Below are 19,425 nucleotides of genomic sequence, written 5' to 3'. Positions count from 1 at the left end.
TTTACAACAGAACAATTTATTTTCCTTTGGGCATATACCCAATAATGGCATTGCTGGGTCGAATGGTAATCCTGTTTTAAGTTCTTTGAGAAATTGCCAAACTGCTTTTCACAATGACTGAACTAATTTACATTCCCACCAGCACTGATCCACCAGCTTTGGATTCCTGTTGCTGAAGTTGTCCCAGATTTTTGGCACCTTCAAGACTTGTATCTGCACCAGAATAGGTAACGAGTCTCTTGCAAGCATCCTACTTGGGAATAAATCAGCCCTGGAACAGGGGATCCACAGTGCAGGTGAGGCAAGGTGATAGCAGGTCACCTCTGCGCAAAGCTAGTAGCTGAGGCAAACATAGCTGGAAGGATGTGAGATGGAGTATGCTCCATACAAAGGTCAACTAAATATCATTACTTTGCAATCAGATCACTAATTTGTGTTTATTCATAGAAGTATTTCAAATACTAACAGCAAACCACTATAATCATTACACATATAGGAGATGCATCCAAGCTATTTAAAGAACCTCCATTTGGGCTGGCTGTTGAAAACACTTTTACTTAAGATTCTGAAAGCACTTCAAGAATATTCACCTGAAGATGTCTTCATTGGATTTCTTTTGAAGACTGTCTCTGTAACTCTTTCATTTTGCTTTAAACTCCCGTGTTGTAAATGTGTCCCTAATGATGTAATTGCTATTTATTTAACATTCAAAATCTCTCCCATTAAGACCAAATTAACATCATTTAAAACATCTCCAAATAGCTTTTCTTTGAATAATTACACTCTATTAATTTCTGCCTCAGGGTTTTTTTCAGAAAGATAGTAATTTACTGGGGATACAGTAGCCACATCATAGAGGCTTGTCTACCTTCCATGATGGGTATATAAATCAGGATCTTAGATGAAGTACCAAAATCCAGGTGAGCTGAGACCAAGATGCAAAAACAGTCTTGAAAGTTAATTAAATCCCAGAATAGTTACATCTCATATATATCATTAAAAGTTGGTTATCAAAGAAACCAACACCATGGAAGCTATGTGGGAAGCTTTTATCATGCACATATGTTGATACATGAATTGAATCTATGAATAATTTAAAAACGAATTTGGAGAAAAGATCTAGTAATCTTTTATGTGATCGGCTTATAAAAATCCTTAAAAGAGGATGTGCATACACTAAACAGTGAGGCTGATTTTTGCATGTGGATTAGTCTCTCAATTCTTGCATTTTGTAGGGCTTTGTAGCGTTCAAAGCATTTCAAAGCCATTATTATCTCCCTTGATCCTCACAACAACCTTCCAATTTAGAAAGGGCAAGTAGCATGATTCCATTCTACAGAGATGAGAAAATTAGTACTCTGAGAGTTTAAGTGACTTGTGTCGTATTTCCTGGCTGGTAGGTGGCAGATTCCTGATTACAACCCAGGTCTTTAAAGTCAGGGCTGTTTTCTCCACATCAGACCACTAGCTATTTGAATCATAAACTGATGGAGACCAGGGCAATGCTCCATTGCACCTGGCATACTTCTAGGGCTCAACAAGTATCTGTTAATTGGCTACCAATACTTGTTAATTGCTAGTACTTCTGGAACATCTCCCAACACTTTATAACAGTACTATTTTTCTATGTTTATACATAGAACTCTTAAAACTAACAGCAACATGTATCCAAGCTACCAATTGACTTCAATGTAGTACTGGTATCATCCTAGAAACAGTCTGATACATGTTATTGCTCCACCTCAGAATTCCTTGTTACATAAGGTTTCTTTTTTCTTCGCCAGGTCTATAGAATATTACTGAGAGTTGAAAATACCACTGGGTAGTAGATGGATCTACACAGTGTTACCTGTCCGCTTGGCATCTTTACAAAGGTTCAGGGAGTAGCTAGCTGTTCTGGGTTTGCATGAGTGGTTGTGGGTGCCACAGGTTCAGGAAGCCACTCTCTTCTCCTGGCCTGAATCAGCACAAACCCTCCCAGGCTCAAGTGGCCAACTGTATCTTTAGGGTTCCTACCCTTTCCCTGTGCTCAGTTCCTAAAAACCATGCCCTTTTCCAGAATGTTCAAGTTGCAGCACCTCATCTCACAGGGTACTACAGGCTCACTTAAAACAGCGAGGGAAAAGTTTCATTCTGTGCTAAGGCAACAAAGACATTAGGGATGTGGAGAAAGACCTGGCAGAGGCAAGATGACCGTCCCTCTTCCAAATTTTCTGCTTTCTTCCTACCTCTAGAGTACTTTATTTGTATCTTAATTATGGACTTTTTTTTCCTCTTGTGTTTTAAATTTTTGAAGACTTGTCAGTATTATACCTCTTTTATGAAATGAACTCTTACCACATTGAAGGCCACCCTCTGTGCCATGAAGAGAGTATAGGGCAGGGTTTCACACAATCCACTGCAGACATAATATACACATTGCTGGTGACAGGTTACTAAGGGACTGTTCTTGTTTCTTCATCACATTCCCTAGTAGCAAGGGTAGCCAGGGTATGAATCTTATTACTAAAGGAATTTTATTGCAACTGCTGCTAAAATACAGATTCTCCAGGATAATCACTAGAAACGCTACTCCATAAGGAGAAAAGACAGGATTTTCAACCAGCTTGGCTCAGAACACAGAAATCAACTTACTGCTTTCCCCTGCCCCTACAGAGGAAAGCCGATTTCTCTTTTATCCAAGTGGAACGGAGGCATTTCAGGCAGACTCTTCCCTATTAAAACAAGGGCTCTTCTGGGAAGGATTAGCTTCTTTTGATTTTGCTACAAAACCCCAGGTCCCCTACACAGAAAAGGAACTGACAGATTAACAAATTTCACAGCTTTCTGTATATCTCCAGCTCAGCTTGTCCAACAGCAGGAGATCAAACACTGGGTTCCCCCAAGCAAAACCATCAGGATGGCTACCTTTACCTCCTAGTCAATAGGAAAATAAAAGGTGAAGTAGAGAACTTCCAGGTCTCTCTAAATAGTAGGAGCTGTGTGGGTGGTTTATGGACCCTTCTACTGCACATAAGACACAGAATTAAAAATAATATGTCAAGAGAAATAAAATTATGATTGGGTATGAGGCACATTCCTTTATAGGGGCAACCAGGAGAGGGTAAAATTTTTAATGTCATGGGAAGAGGTTTAATTTAATGAATGAATATCATTATAAAGAGGTTACCAAGGTTTTTCATTATTTAAACTGTACTCTCAAATGCATATACTGTACATTTGTATATAATCTCTCACTCATGTGTAAAAAATTGCACATTAAATATGTGCATCACATTTATTAATATGCAGAGAAAAGATTTGAGCCTGGATCTCACCTGCATTCCACACGGTTCAGCTGTCCACACATGGAAAAGCCTCACCTTTGACCAATGCAGCCAACAGGGCTGCAAAAAGTCAGTGATTTTCAAACATTTTTTAGCAGCAGGATCCTTTTGTCAAACGAAGGAGTATTAGGAAACCTAATATACAGAGCAAACAAAAGCAGAGTTGCTCCGTTTGAGGAGGTGCTGGGAAGCCCAAAGCCCAGCCTTTCCAGGCGTCCTCCTCCATTTGGCACATAAGGGTGGGAAAGGACGAAGGGAAAGGCTGGTCTCCTTTGTTTGTGAGGTTGTTTCTTCTTTCTCAGTTATATGTCTCTGTTAGCACTAAAACCAAATATAAGACATCAATACTTTTAAAAGTTCGAAATTTAAGTAGACAAATCTCTATAGTCATGAAAAACCAAACCCACCAAAGTCTCTCGTCCTCATCTTGCTGTTATTTAACTGCTTAAATAGTAGGAATAAAAAATAATCTGCCTCTACACGGATCCCCTTTAAAAGCCAAACCAGTAAGCATCTGTCAGTGGAATGCACAATCCTCAATGTCCAGTTCTGCCTTGGCGCTACTCCCTGGGAATGCCACCTTGAAGGGACTCAAGCCTCACTGCTCTATGACTTCTTGTACCAAGGCCATTCTTTGATAGACTGGTAGGCAGGAACAGGTAGAAAACCACCTCCTCTGATGCCCTGATACTGTGCTCATATAGCATCTGTGTAGCTTCTCCAATAGAGTAGGAAAAGCTACTCTGTTGGTCTGTGGGTTTTCTGCTTTGACAAAACCTGCAGAGGCAACTTTATTTCAATGAACAGAATGAAAAAGCTCGCCCTTTTCTAGGCCACAGGCAGATATTGATTACTATCGATACAAATCTTACCTTCTCCATAAAGCCCGTCCTAATCATCATTTCAATTTTCAAAACTTATACCCCCCACCCCAAAAAAGATTTTTAAATGACACTGGTTTCAGAAAATCATTTGAGATGGTTTCTAATAATTTTTTAAAAGCAATACACACACAAAATAAAACAAACAAACAAACAAAAAGAATATAAGAAAGCAGCCAAGGAATAAAAAATGGCCTATGGCAAAGCATAAAGGGATATGAAAAATAACAATACCATAAGCTTTATGTGGGGAAGCTGCTAAAATTCACACAAAAATTAGTTCTGTGCTTTCTAGCAACTATAAAGAGGGGAACACAACATTATCTAGATTTAATTAAAGAAAACAGAAAATGTTCAGTTCAATTTTCCAACTTCTTTTTCTACCACTCCACTCCCTCCCACAATTACAACTGCCCCTTATATAAGAGGTCCTGGTACATTGTGTTCACTTATTTCCTTAACTTTACCCAGGCCTTCTCCTCTGGGCAGAATGCTCTTTCTCCTTCACCTACTTAATTCGTACTCATAGCCTTCTTTTGAGAAAGCCTGTACTGACCCTCTTCTAGGGTCAGGTGAAAGGCTCTTTCTCCAAGAGCAACATGTGCTTTGCACTAATACAGCTCTCATCATATTACATTATATTTGTTTAGTTATGTGCATTTCCCACTGGGCTGAATGTATTTTAATACATTTAAATGAATGAATATAAAAAGGACAATGAATAATATATTGGGCAATTCCTGGACAGCAGTTTTATAAAAACGCAGAGACATTGTACATTGCATGGTCATTTCTTACGCATTGAGCAATTGTCAATTAGGCTAAGTTGTCCTGTATTGTTAGCTGCAGAAGCAAGATTCCCTTGCTTGAAAAAGATAACTAACTACACTTCCTGAGAATAGGATGGTGTCTTATCTTCTCAGTTCAGTTCAGTTCAGCAAACATTTATTGAGTACCAGTAATTATGCTAAGAGCAGGAGAAGCAAGAGAAGCAATGACGAATAACACACAGTCCTATTCCTTTTAGAGACCTGGCTGGGGAAACATAATGCAAATGGGTAAGAACTGCATTGGAGCTTAGTCCAATCCCGACTGAGGATGTCAGGGAAGACTTCCTACAGGAGGTGCTGTCTGTCCTAAATTTAAATAATAAATTTGTCTGGTAAAGGGACATCCCAGGCAGGAAAAAAATATATAAGAAAGGCATATACAGTAAGAAATGGCACAGTTTGTGCATGGAGACTAAAGAGGTTTATGTTTATTGAAGGTTACAATGAAACAAGGAAGGAATGTGAAGAGCAGTGGTGGGTAAGGAATTCATATGTGACTGATGGAGTAGGTAGGATCCAGGTCACAGAGGTCTTTGTAGACAATGGTAAGGAAATTGGATTTCACCCTATAGGTGATGAGCTGCCACTGAATGTAGAAATATTGATTTAGCCCTGTGACTGGCTGGTGGGGAAGGTTGGTGTTGATCTGGGAGAAGAAAATCAATTAGTAAGCTCTTGTAACATTTCAGAAAATATATAATAAGGATTTATAAATGGTTTTAAATAGCCAAATCATAATGATGCTTCTCCCTTTTCCTATTATAAATCACCCTAAAGCAATAAGAAAAATAAGAAAGGGAAATGCAAACTCTATCCGTAATGAAAATCTAACTCTGAAACACAATATACGTGGGAAAGGAGTCATATATATTGTGTTCCAGGTGGTTCTGTCTTATCAGAAGGACCCACTCACAGAGAAAACAATCTTGAGTCATACAGAACCTCAGTGAGAACCAAGAAGGATTCTTGTTAAGCTGAAACAGAGCCCTAATCTGTTGCTAAAATGAACCTCCTCAAATACTTTTTCTGGGAAGAACTCACAGCATTAAAAAATAAGCAATAGTTAAACATATAAAGATAAAAGAAAATAGCATAATAATGATAAAATAATATAGGAAAATAAAAGACAGAAAGGGACAGGAAAAACAAATAACAGATATGGAATAAAATATGCTTCCATAGAGCAAATAAAAATTGCAAACACACTGCTATAATTTAAAATAACCTGTATGATGAAGAGCTCACCTCTATAAGAGAAGGGTTTGAAGCAGAAATACAAGAGCTCAGGGAAGGTATGTTGATACGAGAGAAAGAGACACAATATAAACTGGCAAAGCTCAGAAAAGAAGTTAAACAAAAACAGGAAAAAGAAAAAAAAAGCAATAAAGCAAAAAGAGCCTAGAAAATAATGTAAGATTGTTTTTAATCTCATTTTCCTCAGTTTGCTCAGGGAGTAAAAAAGGGTTGGGATGGGAGAAATTATGGCTCTCTTTTGTCTTTCCTGTCTAGTGTACACATCCTAGATGTCCTGGAAGAAAGGAACCAAAACTACAAAACTGAAATAGAAAACATATTTCAAGATATGCCACAGAAACTCCCGAGAAATTAAAAAATAAAGAAAAAATTCAATCTATTTAACAAAAAAATTAATATTCCAGAAGAATCAGTACATTATGGCCAACCACAAGGCATATGCTAACTAATGAGTAATTGGTATCAAAATATTTTTTATTTTGATATAATATATTGTATCAATATATTTGATAACAATATATTGGCCAAAATATTTTTTAAAGGCTTTAAGTATTGAAGTTAAAAAACAAAATAAAACAACAACAAGATGCCTTAATGAAAAATATGAGACTGGTCTGAATAGTAACAAATTATTGGAGTAAAAATTCTCATGGAAAGAGGATGACACATACATTTTATACCCTGAGAAATGATATTAAAATATAAAAAGATACAGACAAACATATTTTCAGCATTCAAGAATTAGCCTTTCTTGGAAGACAAATTTCAGATAACCAAGAGATAAATGGGAAAAACTATAGGAAAAAGACTTCTGGGGACAACTGAATACATTTACCTATAAGACTAAAATCAAAATAAATGCAGGAATTACAGTGCAGAGTAGAATGTTCATGCTCTAAAATGATGACGTCAACAAACTGGGGTTGGAAAAAGGAATCTGACAAGAGGTCATAAACACATACTATTTTTTTCACCTTTCTTCTGTAGTGCTTCATAAAATATTTAAGTCTAACAGAATTATATTTTAAGGCAGTAAGACAAACATTAGAAAATAATTATTCAAAATTAGGTAGTGGAAGAATTAAAGAGAGGGAGAAAATTAGAAATTCAAGGAAATACACTGATTTTGTAATTGCTGCCAACAGGAAATCAATAGATATTGTCCAGAAATAGAAGATTCAGTATGTTATATAAATTTCTATTCATAAAGCTAAGCACTTAGAACAAAAATACAAATACTCAAAATTATCAGACACACAGGAAAGCAAACAGACCATATAATGGGAGTTTTAAAGTAATCATAATTAAACACAAAGAATATACTGTCAAAACTAAGACATATATGTCATATCTGTCAATGCAAATGGCCAAACTCACCTGTGAGAAGAAAAAGGTGGATTAAATGCTGATGATCCACTGATTTATATTTGTACCTACACTGTATGTAGTTGTCTACCTGCAACTCATTGGCATTCTTTTACCATATTTCAATCTTAGCTAATTGATAGTTGCAAATGATACCATGTAATCTGTGTTTAGTTGATGATTAATGAAATCCAATGTTTTTCTCAAGTTTATTGGCCTTTCACATTATTTGGGGCATTGTTAATCCATTGGTTCCCACATCATTGATAGTAAAAATAAAGCCTTCAAGGCCCAGTGGGATCTAGCACCTCCACCTTTCCGGCCTTATCTCTAAATTGTCTATCTAGGTCTCATTGCAGGTTTCTGCTCATCTCATTGAACTCTGAATATTGGAGTAGCCTGAGGCTCAGTCTTTGGATGGTTTCTCTTTTCTATCAATACTTATTTCTTAGTGGTCTAAGAAATGCCACCAATATACTGGCAACTTTACAATAGATCAACTCAGCTGCGACTGGCAATTCTGTGTGGTCTAAAAATGCCACCAATATACTATAAACTTTACAATGGATACACTCAGCTGCAACTGCTCCATGACGAACCCCCGCTCCTGAACCCAGACTCAAATCTCTAACTGCCCACTCCCCATCTTCATGTGGGCTCAAGGAAGCCAAGGCCTGACAACCTGGCTCCACGCTCCTCTCTGACTGCACTATCTTCTGCCACCGTGTTCCTAGTTCACCACTCAATGAGGCCTTCCTAAGTCTCCCTAAATAAAACAGCAATACCTTTATAGCTTCAATATTCACAGTCCCTGATTTATTTTTATTCATAGGACTTGTCATTATCTGATACATTTTGTAGATAGATAAAAGATAGAAAGCAAATATTCATATAACACTGTTTCTAGGGCATCGTTTTGCTGCTTTACAGATAGCGTTAATAAATATAATCCACCCAGCAACCCATGAAGTAGGTACTACAATTATCTTCTTTTTATAGATAAGTCAAATGATGCACAGCTCAAGGTCACACAGCTAAGTGTGGAATGCCACAGTTTCAACAAATGCCAGGTTTTGGACTCTAAATTATATGTTCTTAACCATTACTCTTTATAACTTTTCATCTATGTATATATGGATGTTTACATCATACACATATTTTTTCCTATCTTCCACTAGAATTAAATGCCACTAAGGCAGAAACTTTGTTGTGTTCACTATCCTAACCCCAGCACCTAGCACCTAGAACAGGGGACCTCACATATACTTGGCAATGAGTAAAACTTTATTGAATAATGAAACCGCATATCTTTTCAAGGAAAATAAAAATTGATGCTAATTAAAGACAAAACTTCCGTCTGCTTCCAGTATAATAAAAAAGGAATGTTTCAGAATAATTTTTAAAAAAATCTGTGTATCTGTCTGCGGAGTTACAGCAAACTTTATGGAACACAAGGAAAAATGAAAAAAGTCTGAACATTTTACATTCTAAGTCATGTTTCCGAGAAACAATTCTAGCATATTTAGCATTAAGGGAAGGGAAATCCGACTGGTAAATTCATAACTCACTCCTGTGCTTCCACTGTAAAAAAAAAAAAAAAAATCTAAATAGAAAGAGATAAAGGCCTTAAATGGGGACCATAACAATGAGAATGGAATAAAAGGAAACACTACAGAAATCACAAAGAGAGATATTAACAGAGGCTGTGGGTTCATTTAATTTGGCAACACAGACTGACTTTGACTGACCTGGTAGGGGGTTGTGCCACAAACTGTGTAAGGGTCAAGGTCAAGGGTGACCTGTTGGTTCTGTTTTACTTGTGGAATGTCTATGTTGGGATCCTGAGTTGGTTATTTGATATGGAAGGCTGCAGTACATGAGGTCACAGCTCACTGACTTGAAAGTCATCAAACCTTGGAAATAGTCCTTAAAACCAGGGGATTGCTCAGGCAGCGAGTACTGGGTAGAGAAGCAGGTCAAGGGCAGAAACTTGAGGAACTCTAGAGTAGTGACTGGTGCTATGTATTTTGCAATGTATGTGTTCAATAAACAAACACTTACGAATAAGAGAATGAGAGTGCCGTTGGCCTGCCAAGACTTAGAAATACAATTCTGAGATTCTGCATTTCAGTCAAGCTAAAAAACAGGGATTTTTGAAGCCACAGAACCTTCCTGTTTCACTCCCTCATCGAAGATGGTTTTTGAGTGGCTAGCTACTTTTCCTGTATTTTACTAGACCTCAAAAATCTATGTAACTAAGTTATAGATAGAAGTAACTGCGATGCCTACAATCAGTTCAATACAACAAATATTGACTGAGCACCCCTGATATGCAAAGACATCTTGTTAGGGCCAAGGGAGAGGGGTCAACTGTGTGTATAAAATATCATCACCATTCTCAGAGAGTGTAAAATGCAATTTGGAGAGAAGACAAATCCATTGATAGCCTGTGTGCTAGAGGAATGGTATAGACCATAAAGTTGCAAGGGTTCAGAGGATGGAGAGTCACACTGAGCTTGGAAGTTCATAGAAAGTCTCCTAGAAGAGATGGGATTGATCTGGACTGAACTACCAGGGGTCAGGTAGAGAAGGTCATTCAGGTGCTTAGGTCTGAGCCAACTCAGGGAGTTTTCAAAGTTCAACTTTCCTGTGGGAATAGTTTGCAAAACAACTGAGAATAGAAGGATGGAAAGGCAGAGTGTGGGAAATCAAGGTTGCAATCAAATACCATGTTTGATTTATCACATGCATCCTCTGTCAGTCATCTGGTGGAGCACTACCTTTTGTTCCCCTTATTTTTGTCCTGTTTTGTACCTCCTTATAGTACACAATAGAGATAAGAAGACCGAAAATGTAAAAGAAGGCTTCCCTGCTCTGCCTAAATATGAGTCCCATCTAATTTTTCCTAAGACTCAGTTCTGGGAGTAAACGCTTTGGGACATGGACATTGAGAAGGTAGTCAGCACTGGAAAGAAGGGGAAAGTTTAGTGAGTAGTAGGTATTTCCAGAAAAAGAATCCTAAAGATGCTTAATTTACAGGGGATTTTCATTGCCAAGTTATACAAGTCACTTTGGGTAGAAATAGAATGTGGCTTTGATAAATTACTTAAAGTCAAATCCCATTAGAAATTTGACTAAGTTACTTCAAACCCAGCCCAAGACTAGCCAATTCAGACAGCTCCTGTGCTATAAAATGGCAATCCAATGGAAGGATTCAGTGCATCACTAAAACCAGTAGAAGTCTGGGCTCTCCCCAGAGGACTGGGTCCCTGAAGCAAAGGAGGGACAGTGTCTCAACTCCACATCTTCACAACCTTGGGAAAGCCACCCTCCTTTTCCTAGCAGGCAGCCAACTTCAACGATGCATCCTCCTACCACCAACTGCACTTTCTGTACTCACCTGAATGAAGATATATTCATCCTGGACAACCAGGGAACTGATGTCAATGGAGCGGGCAAAAGGCCCACTTCTAGTTGTCTCGGCACATTCCTGGATCCTGCAGGTGAGGTAGTGAGCATCTGAAACAGGAGGGTAGAGTGATGCTTAGATACAAGTGAAAATCATGAGGGAGCCCCAGGTAGCATACAAAACTCTACTTCATGGGGGAATCAACAAGGTAATTTAAAATAACAGTGAGATTTCATGCTTTTGTCCACAGAATTTATAATAATTCCCAAAAAATCGTAATATCTAATTTGGGCAGAGAAGTGGAAAAATTGTTCATCTCATATCAGACTGCTGAAAGAGTAATTTGGTATAGCTTTTTGGAAGAACAAATTTGAAATATGTATCAGAATTTTAAAGGTACATATCTTACATCAGCAATTCTAATTCAAGGAGAATCTGTTCTCTCTAATTTTCTAATTAGAGAATTCTAATTCTCTAGATGTTTTCTAGAGAAAGACTCATATTTCCACAGAGGCAAGGGCAACGATATTCACAGTGGCATTGTTCATAGTAGTAAAAAATTAGAAATAGGCTCAATGCCCATGAATTAATGATCACCTAAATAAACTATGATATATGCATATGACAGAGTACTATGCTGCAATTAGAAGAATTCGGTGGATACGTATGCTTCAACATGGTAATTTCTCCAAAACGCACTGTTCTGCAATCTTTCAAAAATTAGTTAGCATCATGTGTAGTATGATCCAATTAGGCTTGTGCCATACTGCACAGAACAATGTTTAAAGGATACATATGAAAATTAGCTATGATTACTTTTAGGCAAAGAAATGGACTCAAGGAAGTAGACAGAATTCAAGTGAGACCTCTGCTTTTTACATTAGATACATTTTTATTATTTTTACAACAAGAATGCATTCACTTCTTACATAACATGTACAAAACTTACATAATTACTTGTAAAAATCTTCTAGAGATCTCAACAGCTGAACCCTCCTCCCTCGCCTCAAGCAACCCAAAAAATGCATGGTACCAGCTGTAGCTGAATGGGAAATCTTTGGCTCCAAAAGGCTTTCTGATTATGACTAGAAGGTTATCCAAGGAAAGGGAATCCATTCGGTTTTTTTGCTCTTTAATTAAGGAAAAACTACAGGTGAGTCTCTGTGAAGAATCCACCAAAAAAATTTGCTTTAAAAAAGGTTATTCATTTAATGAAATTTAAAAATAAATGATCAAAATGGAAAGTAGAAATCACTTTAAGATTAAAAGTAGAGAAATCTTATTATCTAAAACCACATGCATTATTACATATGCCTATCTAATGCAATTGTTTCCTTGTATGTGCACATATGTGTGCAGAGGTGTCAGGGGCTACAGAGAAGGAAGTGGTAGGCAGCAGATAAATAAAAGCAAAAGACTTACAGAAAAAAATGTATAACAATTGAGATTAAACTATGGGTACTTTAAATGATCTCTGTTTAAGTAATTATGGATGGATTCAGCAAATATTTCTCATGCACACACTACATATTGGGTATTGTTTGGGTACTAGGAATAAGCAGTGAATTAGAGATTTTCCTTTCTAAAAGAACCTCTGTCTAGGAAGGGGTTTACTCATATATGTAGCTAGTTACTACACATATTAATTTAGAAACATGATGCTACTTTAAGAAAGAAATATTTTAATGGGAAATGTATTCATTACATGCTGTATATAACTATTTCTTGAATGTTCAAATTTGAGCAATGTCTGTTTCCTTTGGTAACTATAATCTGACTAGGTCTAGTATTGATTCCATTCGCCCCATCAACAGTCATCATCTGCACAGTAGCTCCAGCCTCTAAACTTTTCTTTCTTCTGCATCCCATTTGGTTCCCAATCCTTGACAATTCTGCCTCTGAAGTGTTTCCAGAGTTTCTTCTCTTCCCTCCATTACCTGTGCTCTTTGCCTGGGACACTTTCTTGTCATCTGTGTTCCTTCTGCACTCATTTCACATCTAGGGTCCATGTGGATGATGAATTGGAAACTGGATGGACTTGAAACAAGTAGCCAAAGGCATCTCTAAAGCCTAAGCCTGGGCTAATACCTCCCAGCCTCAAAACAACCACTATTGCTGAGTGCCTTAGGATATGGCCTGAATAACTTTGTATGACATGGCAGGCCTTTATAACTATCCTAATAAACTCAAACGCTTAAGGGGCCATGCAAATTATGTATGAGAGTAAAACTAGCGGGGGTAGATGATAAATGGTGGCTGGCACAAGGTCTCAGTGTCAGGGATCTCTGAGGAGCAGCGGAGACTACACTCAAATGCAAACATTCGCCTATTTTAAGGGGGAACTGCTCCTCCACACAGAATTCATATGCAAAAAGAAGACATTCTGAGTCTCTAAGAAAAGCTAAATGCCTCTATTTTTTAAATGTTAAATTTCCTTATTTTTATAATTGAGAGCTATTGGGAGGCCGAGGTGGGTGGATCACGAGGTCAGGAGATCAGACCACCCTGGCTAACATGGTGAAATCCCATCTCTACCACAAATGCAAAATACTAGCTGGGTGTGGTAGCATGTGCCTGTAATCCCAGCTACTCGGGAGGCTGAGGCAGGAGAATTGCTTGAACCAGGGAGTCAGAGGTTGCACTGAGCCGAGATCGCGCCACGGTACTCCAGCCTGGTGACAGAGCAAAACTCCATCTCACAAAAAAAAAAAAAAAAAAAAAAAAAAGGTTGAGAGGTAATTTAAATATAAAAGATGGTACAGGCCAAACACCTTGAGGCCAACACTCCAAATGAAACCCAGGAGCCACTGTTTTTTTTCTTTTCCTTTCCAACTTCTATTTTAGATCCAGGATGCACATGTGCATAGGCAAATTGCATGTTGTGGGGATTTGGTGTACAGATTATTTCATCACCCAGGTAATAAGCATAGCACACGATAGTTTTTCTATTTTCATCCTCCTCCCAACCTCTTCCCTCAAAAGTAAGCCCTGGTGTCTGTTGCTCCCTTTTTTGTGTCTGTATGTACTCAATGTTTAGCTCCCACTTATAAATGAGAACATGTGGTATTTGTTTTTCTGTTCCAGTGTTAGTTTGCTTAGGATAATGGCCTCCAGCTCCATCCATGTTGCTGCAAAGGACATGATCTCATTCTTTTTTATGGTTGCATGATATTCCATGGTGTATATGTACTACATTTTATTTATCCAGTCCACTGTAGATGGGCATTTAGGTTGATGGCATGTTTTTGCTATTGTGAATAGTGCTGTAATGAACACATGTGTGCATGTTCAATGATTTATATTCCTTTCTGCTCTGCAATTTGGTCATGACCTTCCTTATAAGGAAAGAGACAGGCTTTCTTACCCTCATTCCCTGACCCTGTAGCAACAGCTTGTCCAACATGCTTTAAGGACAGCCTGTATGCCCCTTCCTTTTTGTCTTGGTTCACAGAGAAAGCCAAGAGTGGCCTGGATTTCCACTTCTGGCTGAGAGGAGAGGGGAAGGCAGGGAGCCCAGGCTGTGCTTTGGAGCACATTGCTGCTAGCCCACCAGGAATATTCTTGGAACCATACAGTCTTAGTAATTTACTCCTAGAATAAAGCACTAAAACAATGAAAACCTGCAGTAAAAACATGTAAAGAAACCACAGGTGTTGATATGGCAACCTGCTTCCTTCTTACCAGCCAGTGTCTCAGAAAGCCCTTTGCACTGGTAATCAAAGGTACACACAGGGGGACACCTTCTTATTCCCACACACTGGTTCATTTCCCTCTGGCTATTTACTATTCACTCTCTCATTTGGACACTTTGAAAAAGGAAGCAAGTGTATTCGAGGCCACCAGAAACAAAATCAAAACCTACCTAAACCTTGGCCCATAGCAGGTATAATGTTGTGCCAAGCTTGTCCTAGTTCTTGGCTCGCTCTCTACTTGCCACTGCTCAGTATGGAATGAAAGGTCCAATTTAACAGGAAGACAGCACTGAAATGAGTTTTTGAAAATCACTGAAAATTTGGTGGCCTTGCCGTCTTAGCTGGACTCAAATATTGGAAGTCTCAATGCTTTTATTTTTCAAAACATAGAGATTGGATAAGTGCCGCAGTGCCCTCTGCCAGGAGAGAACCGAAGTAGGGGCATGGGGAAACTAAATTGTCAGGCAGGCCTGGCGGTCAAACAGAAGTGACTCAGGGTCGTGGAGGAACTGTGGCTGTCAAGGGTGAGCAGGGAATATCATTTCGTTCAAACCTCACATATGCAAAATGTCTCAAATTAGAATTCTAGACATTACTTCCAAATGAGGCTGAATACAGTTATAGAGATTCTATGATGAAATTCACAAAGGTATTTATGACATAATTTAAAATCCCCAAATAGGCTTCCAACAAGTGTGGCCTTCTTATTTGTTTTTTAATAACGCCAGATACCAGATAAAATGAAAGTGGTCCAGATCTCTTGAGCATACTCCAGTGGTTCTGAAAGCAAGGACTCCGAAGCTAGAAAGTGCTGAGATCAAATCCGGGACTTACTATGTGCAGACTGGCCTTGGCCAAGTAGCAGCATGGCTTTTCAGCGGTGAGGCACAGACAATTTAGTATGTGCCTCTGAGGACTGTCATCAGGATTAAACAAGATTATGCATGAAAATTGTTTAGCACATTGTGGATACATTTTAAAAGATCAATAAATGTTAGTTATTTTTTATTATGAAGAGAAAGGGAAAGGAATCCAACTCTCAGCATCTTTTACAGATTCAATTTATAATAAATGTCCTATTTTGTTGTGGAGAATTGAAAGACCATGATATCACAGGTTCTACAGTGAAGTCATATTCTGAATTTAAATCATCGTTTACCTTAAGTGCAATGGATGTTCGGACAAGAAAGAAAGTATATGGGCTGGACAAATCAAGGAGAACTTCAAAGAGGAGGTAGCCCTTGAGTTTAACCTGGATGTGAAATTGTGCTATGTGAAAGGAAATTCTTGAATGAGGGAGTTAAAAATGCACATGGACTTTTATGTAAGCAAAGCTCATGAAATACGTGACATACTTGCATGTTAATGAATTGACTTTGATTAATTCTTATTCTTGAACTTCTATTTTCTAACCTCTCCTTTGAAATATCCTCAAATGAAAAACTAGAAAGAACAGACAGTAGAAAGATCTCATTTGGATATCCCTATGTAAAAACTAGAGAGTGATTTCCTAAATAATCTTCATGCTTAATATATTTCTAAATGTAAAATGTCTTCCTAATATATTTCTAAGAGCTGGTGTGGTCACTGCTCCACTTACAAAAACGAAAAGTCAAAGGCTTTGTTCCCTGCACCAGGAATAGAAGATTATTCTGCTATTTGGAAATATGCACCCCTATTTCAAACTAGCTCTACAGCTAGCAGGCCCTTTAGGGAGCATTGTAACATCATTTAAATGGAGCCAGCATCCATGTCTTCTCACCATACAGACGTGGGACCAAGGATCTCATATGGTGAGAAGGGCTGCCTTACACTGACTGATTCATTCCTTTTGTATTGGCTCAAGGGGTATAGAGAAGCTGCAGGTGTCAGACACATCCTGAGGTTCCAGGAAGCAGAGAACATCAGACAGGTTCTTGCCCTCAGAAGATTCCTATGCCAGTGATGGAGACAGGATGTTCACAAATGAATATGCCTTAGGATGCTTAGAGAACTGGTGAATGTGGGAGAAGAGATGGAGAAAATCTGACGCCCTTAGCCTTCTTTTCTTCCTAAGAGGCTGTATTTCTGCTCAAAGTTGCACAGGACTCAGGCAGGCAGCCACAGCCTTTCTCTATTCAGCAAGACAAGCCCCTCATCTACATCAACAAATTTCACTGTAAAGTCCAGTTCTGGTTCTGCCATACCTTTCCAAAAGGATCACCTCTTTACCAGCAGAAATAAAATCTTAGCCACTTTTCTCTTCCTGGGCTGACTTTATAAAGCTTCAGTGAATGCTGGTTAAACTGAACTGAATGACATTAAAAGCCTCTACATTTTGTTATGTTTAATTACATGGTGTCCCGTGATTATGTTTTGCCTTTGAGAATTACTAAGCATTCAAACTTCCTAGACATCAAGCCTCTTGTCATCTCAGAGAAAAAACTTTCTGTGATTTACTCAACTTCCATTCCTTTGGGTAATAATATACTATTGTCACAAATTGAAAAAGTGAATTAAAATTGTGAACAAAAAGCAAATTCAGCTCTTTAGGCCTTCTCTTAGAGAAATACCCGTGAGCTGTTTATTTTATGTAACATTAACTCTCAAATGAAAATAAGTGAAAACAAGCAGATTCAAGGTAACTCTAAAAAGTTATTTAGCTTCCATCAGCATCCTTTTTCTTGACTGGGGAGTGCAACTAACCTATCTGTAAAGACAAGGAAGGAAGTAATATTGCTGCAAATACCTAATACAGAGCTTGAAGCATAATCGATTCTAAAAACAAACAAAGGCAACAAACAATAAAAGGAAGTTTCCATTCCTTCTACTGAGTTCATGGATTTTGAGCTTTGGTGAAACTTCTCATCTCCCATAGGAGAATCCCAGCATTATCTGCCTCCTTGATGGCACAGGAGGCAATCTGGCAGTTACAGATATTTAGAAACCAAAGTGACACTGAATATCTCAGCAGTCCTACCATCCCATTCAGGGCTCTTTCCACTGTACCTGCTAAATAAACTGACCCTGAATAGGATGACTATATGAAGATCATGATGACAATGACAATGACGATGACAACAGTAGCATTTTTGACTGCTCATTCTGTGTTGTTTGGTGTTCTAGGAACTATATGCATTAACTAATTTCATTCTTGCAACAACCCAGGGAGTTACAATTATTATCATTTCCCTGTTATAGCAGAGGAAACTGAGGCACAGGATGATTAAGTAATTTGCCTAAGTTCCACAGCTCTAGGAAGTGACGGAGCTAGAATTTGAACCCAGGTGATTTTACACCAGTACCTGTGATTCTAACCTTTACGTATTTTAAACATGGAAAGGAAACTGGGCTAGGTATTTGACTAGAATCTACACACTGGGTCACTCCCTGTCACTAGCCGTCTATGTGACCTTGGGCAAGTTGTTATACAATTTGATACCTTTTGGAATGTAATATAATGTGGGAATTTCTTATATGTTCTGACTTTTTGATTATGGAATCCTTCTATCAAAGACAATCCTATATCTCAATCCATAAAGTGAGTTTTACTCTGCCTTCTATGGTTGAACAGAAGGCAAGCAGTCTGCAGTCCCATTGCCTTTAGCCCCCACTTTGTCCTCGTTTTGGCCTCTGAAGTCTTAAAGAGCTGCTAGAGCTCTGAGTTCACACAATTCCAAAGTTATTGAATTAATCAATATTTTAAAGAGCCAATAATATATGTATCTAGAGCCTAGAGTTTAGTCTTCAAAGCTAATAGTTTCACTTGTGTGCCAAGCTCATTTGATTACTTACATATGCCTGGAATTTCTGTTAAGAAGTATTAGGCTTTATCTTGCCTTAGAAGAAGTGCCGTGATTGCTTAATGCGGGATGATGATGAGAAGAAAACAAAGGACGGTGGCATATGTTCTATGGGTTTTGATTCTGCACATTTCTAGAATGTCTAGATGCTTCGAATGTTTTGCCCATGTTCAGGTTCACTTATCACAGTGCCCCATGGGACACCATACTTGGGAATTTCATGCAGAGGAGCTCACTACTTCACAAAGCAGCCCAGGTCAGGTCATCTTTGGGTACTCTCTGTTGTTACTGCTTTGTTCATTGAACTGAAATCTCCCTTGTTGACAATTTTACTCTATAACAAGATCATCATTAGTAAACTGATGAAAAAAATAAATTATAAAAATACTTCTTATGTTTGTTAGTATTTTCAAATAGGTAAAACACCAGATGAGGGATCACAGGAAGGCTAAGAAATTTGTCCAAGGTCTAAATGACAGTTAGTTCTCCAACTTTTATGTCATCGAGTTAATACTCTCTCTATTGACACTTAATTGCCTCTTAAATGGAGGGTGTGTGTGTCCTTCTGTCTGTCGGTCTGTGACTGAGTAACTGTGTCAGAGAGAAAGCATGTGCAGGGACATTCAGAGAAAGATGAATTCCAGAAGCGAATGGGAGGAAAAGCCATTTGAATCCTGAATCTCATGACAGAAATAGGATTATTCGCACAGTTGTTAACCAAACTGGTTGGCTTTGCCCTGTTTAAACCTTGCCAGGGCAAAAAATAATAATTTAATGCTTTCAGTTTAATTCAGGAAGTCTGTCTCCTATAGAGGGAGACTAGGAGTAGGCCAGAGGAGAGATTCCGATATATAAACAAGAAAAGAGACCAGCTGATGTTGGGTTA

General features: G+C 38.2%; 1 protein-coding gene across 2 annotated transcripts in view; it reads right to left on the bottom strand.

Annotated features, from left to right (window-relative positions):
• SORCS3 (sortilin related VPS10 domain containing receptor 3) overlaps positions 1 to 19,425 on the bottom strand; it is a 623,953-nt gene that overhangs the window by 148,671 nt on the left and 455,857 nt on the right. For both annotated transcript variants that reach the window (NM_014978.3, XM_011539542.2), the window contains one exon: positions 11,057 to 11,175. In NM_014978.3, the coding sequence (NP_055793.1) occupies positions 11,057 to 11,175 (119 nt within the window). The remainder of the gene's footprint in view (positions 1 to 11,056; positions 11,176 to 19,425) is intronic.

Source organism: Homo sapiens, chromosome 10 (assembly GCF_000001405.40).
Source record: "Homo sapiens chromosome 10, GRCh38.p14 Primary Assembly".
Classification (NCBI taxonomy): Eukaryota; Metazoa; Chordata; class Mammalia; order Primates; family Hominidae; genus Homo; species Homo sapiens.
The sequence above is the reverse complement of the archived record's forward strand: the minus strand, read 5'-3'. Positions and strand labels throughout refer to the sequence as shown.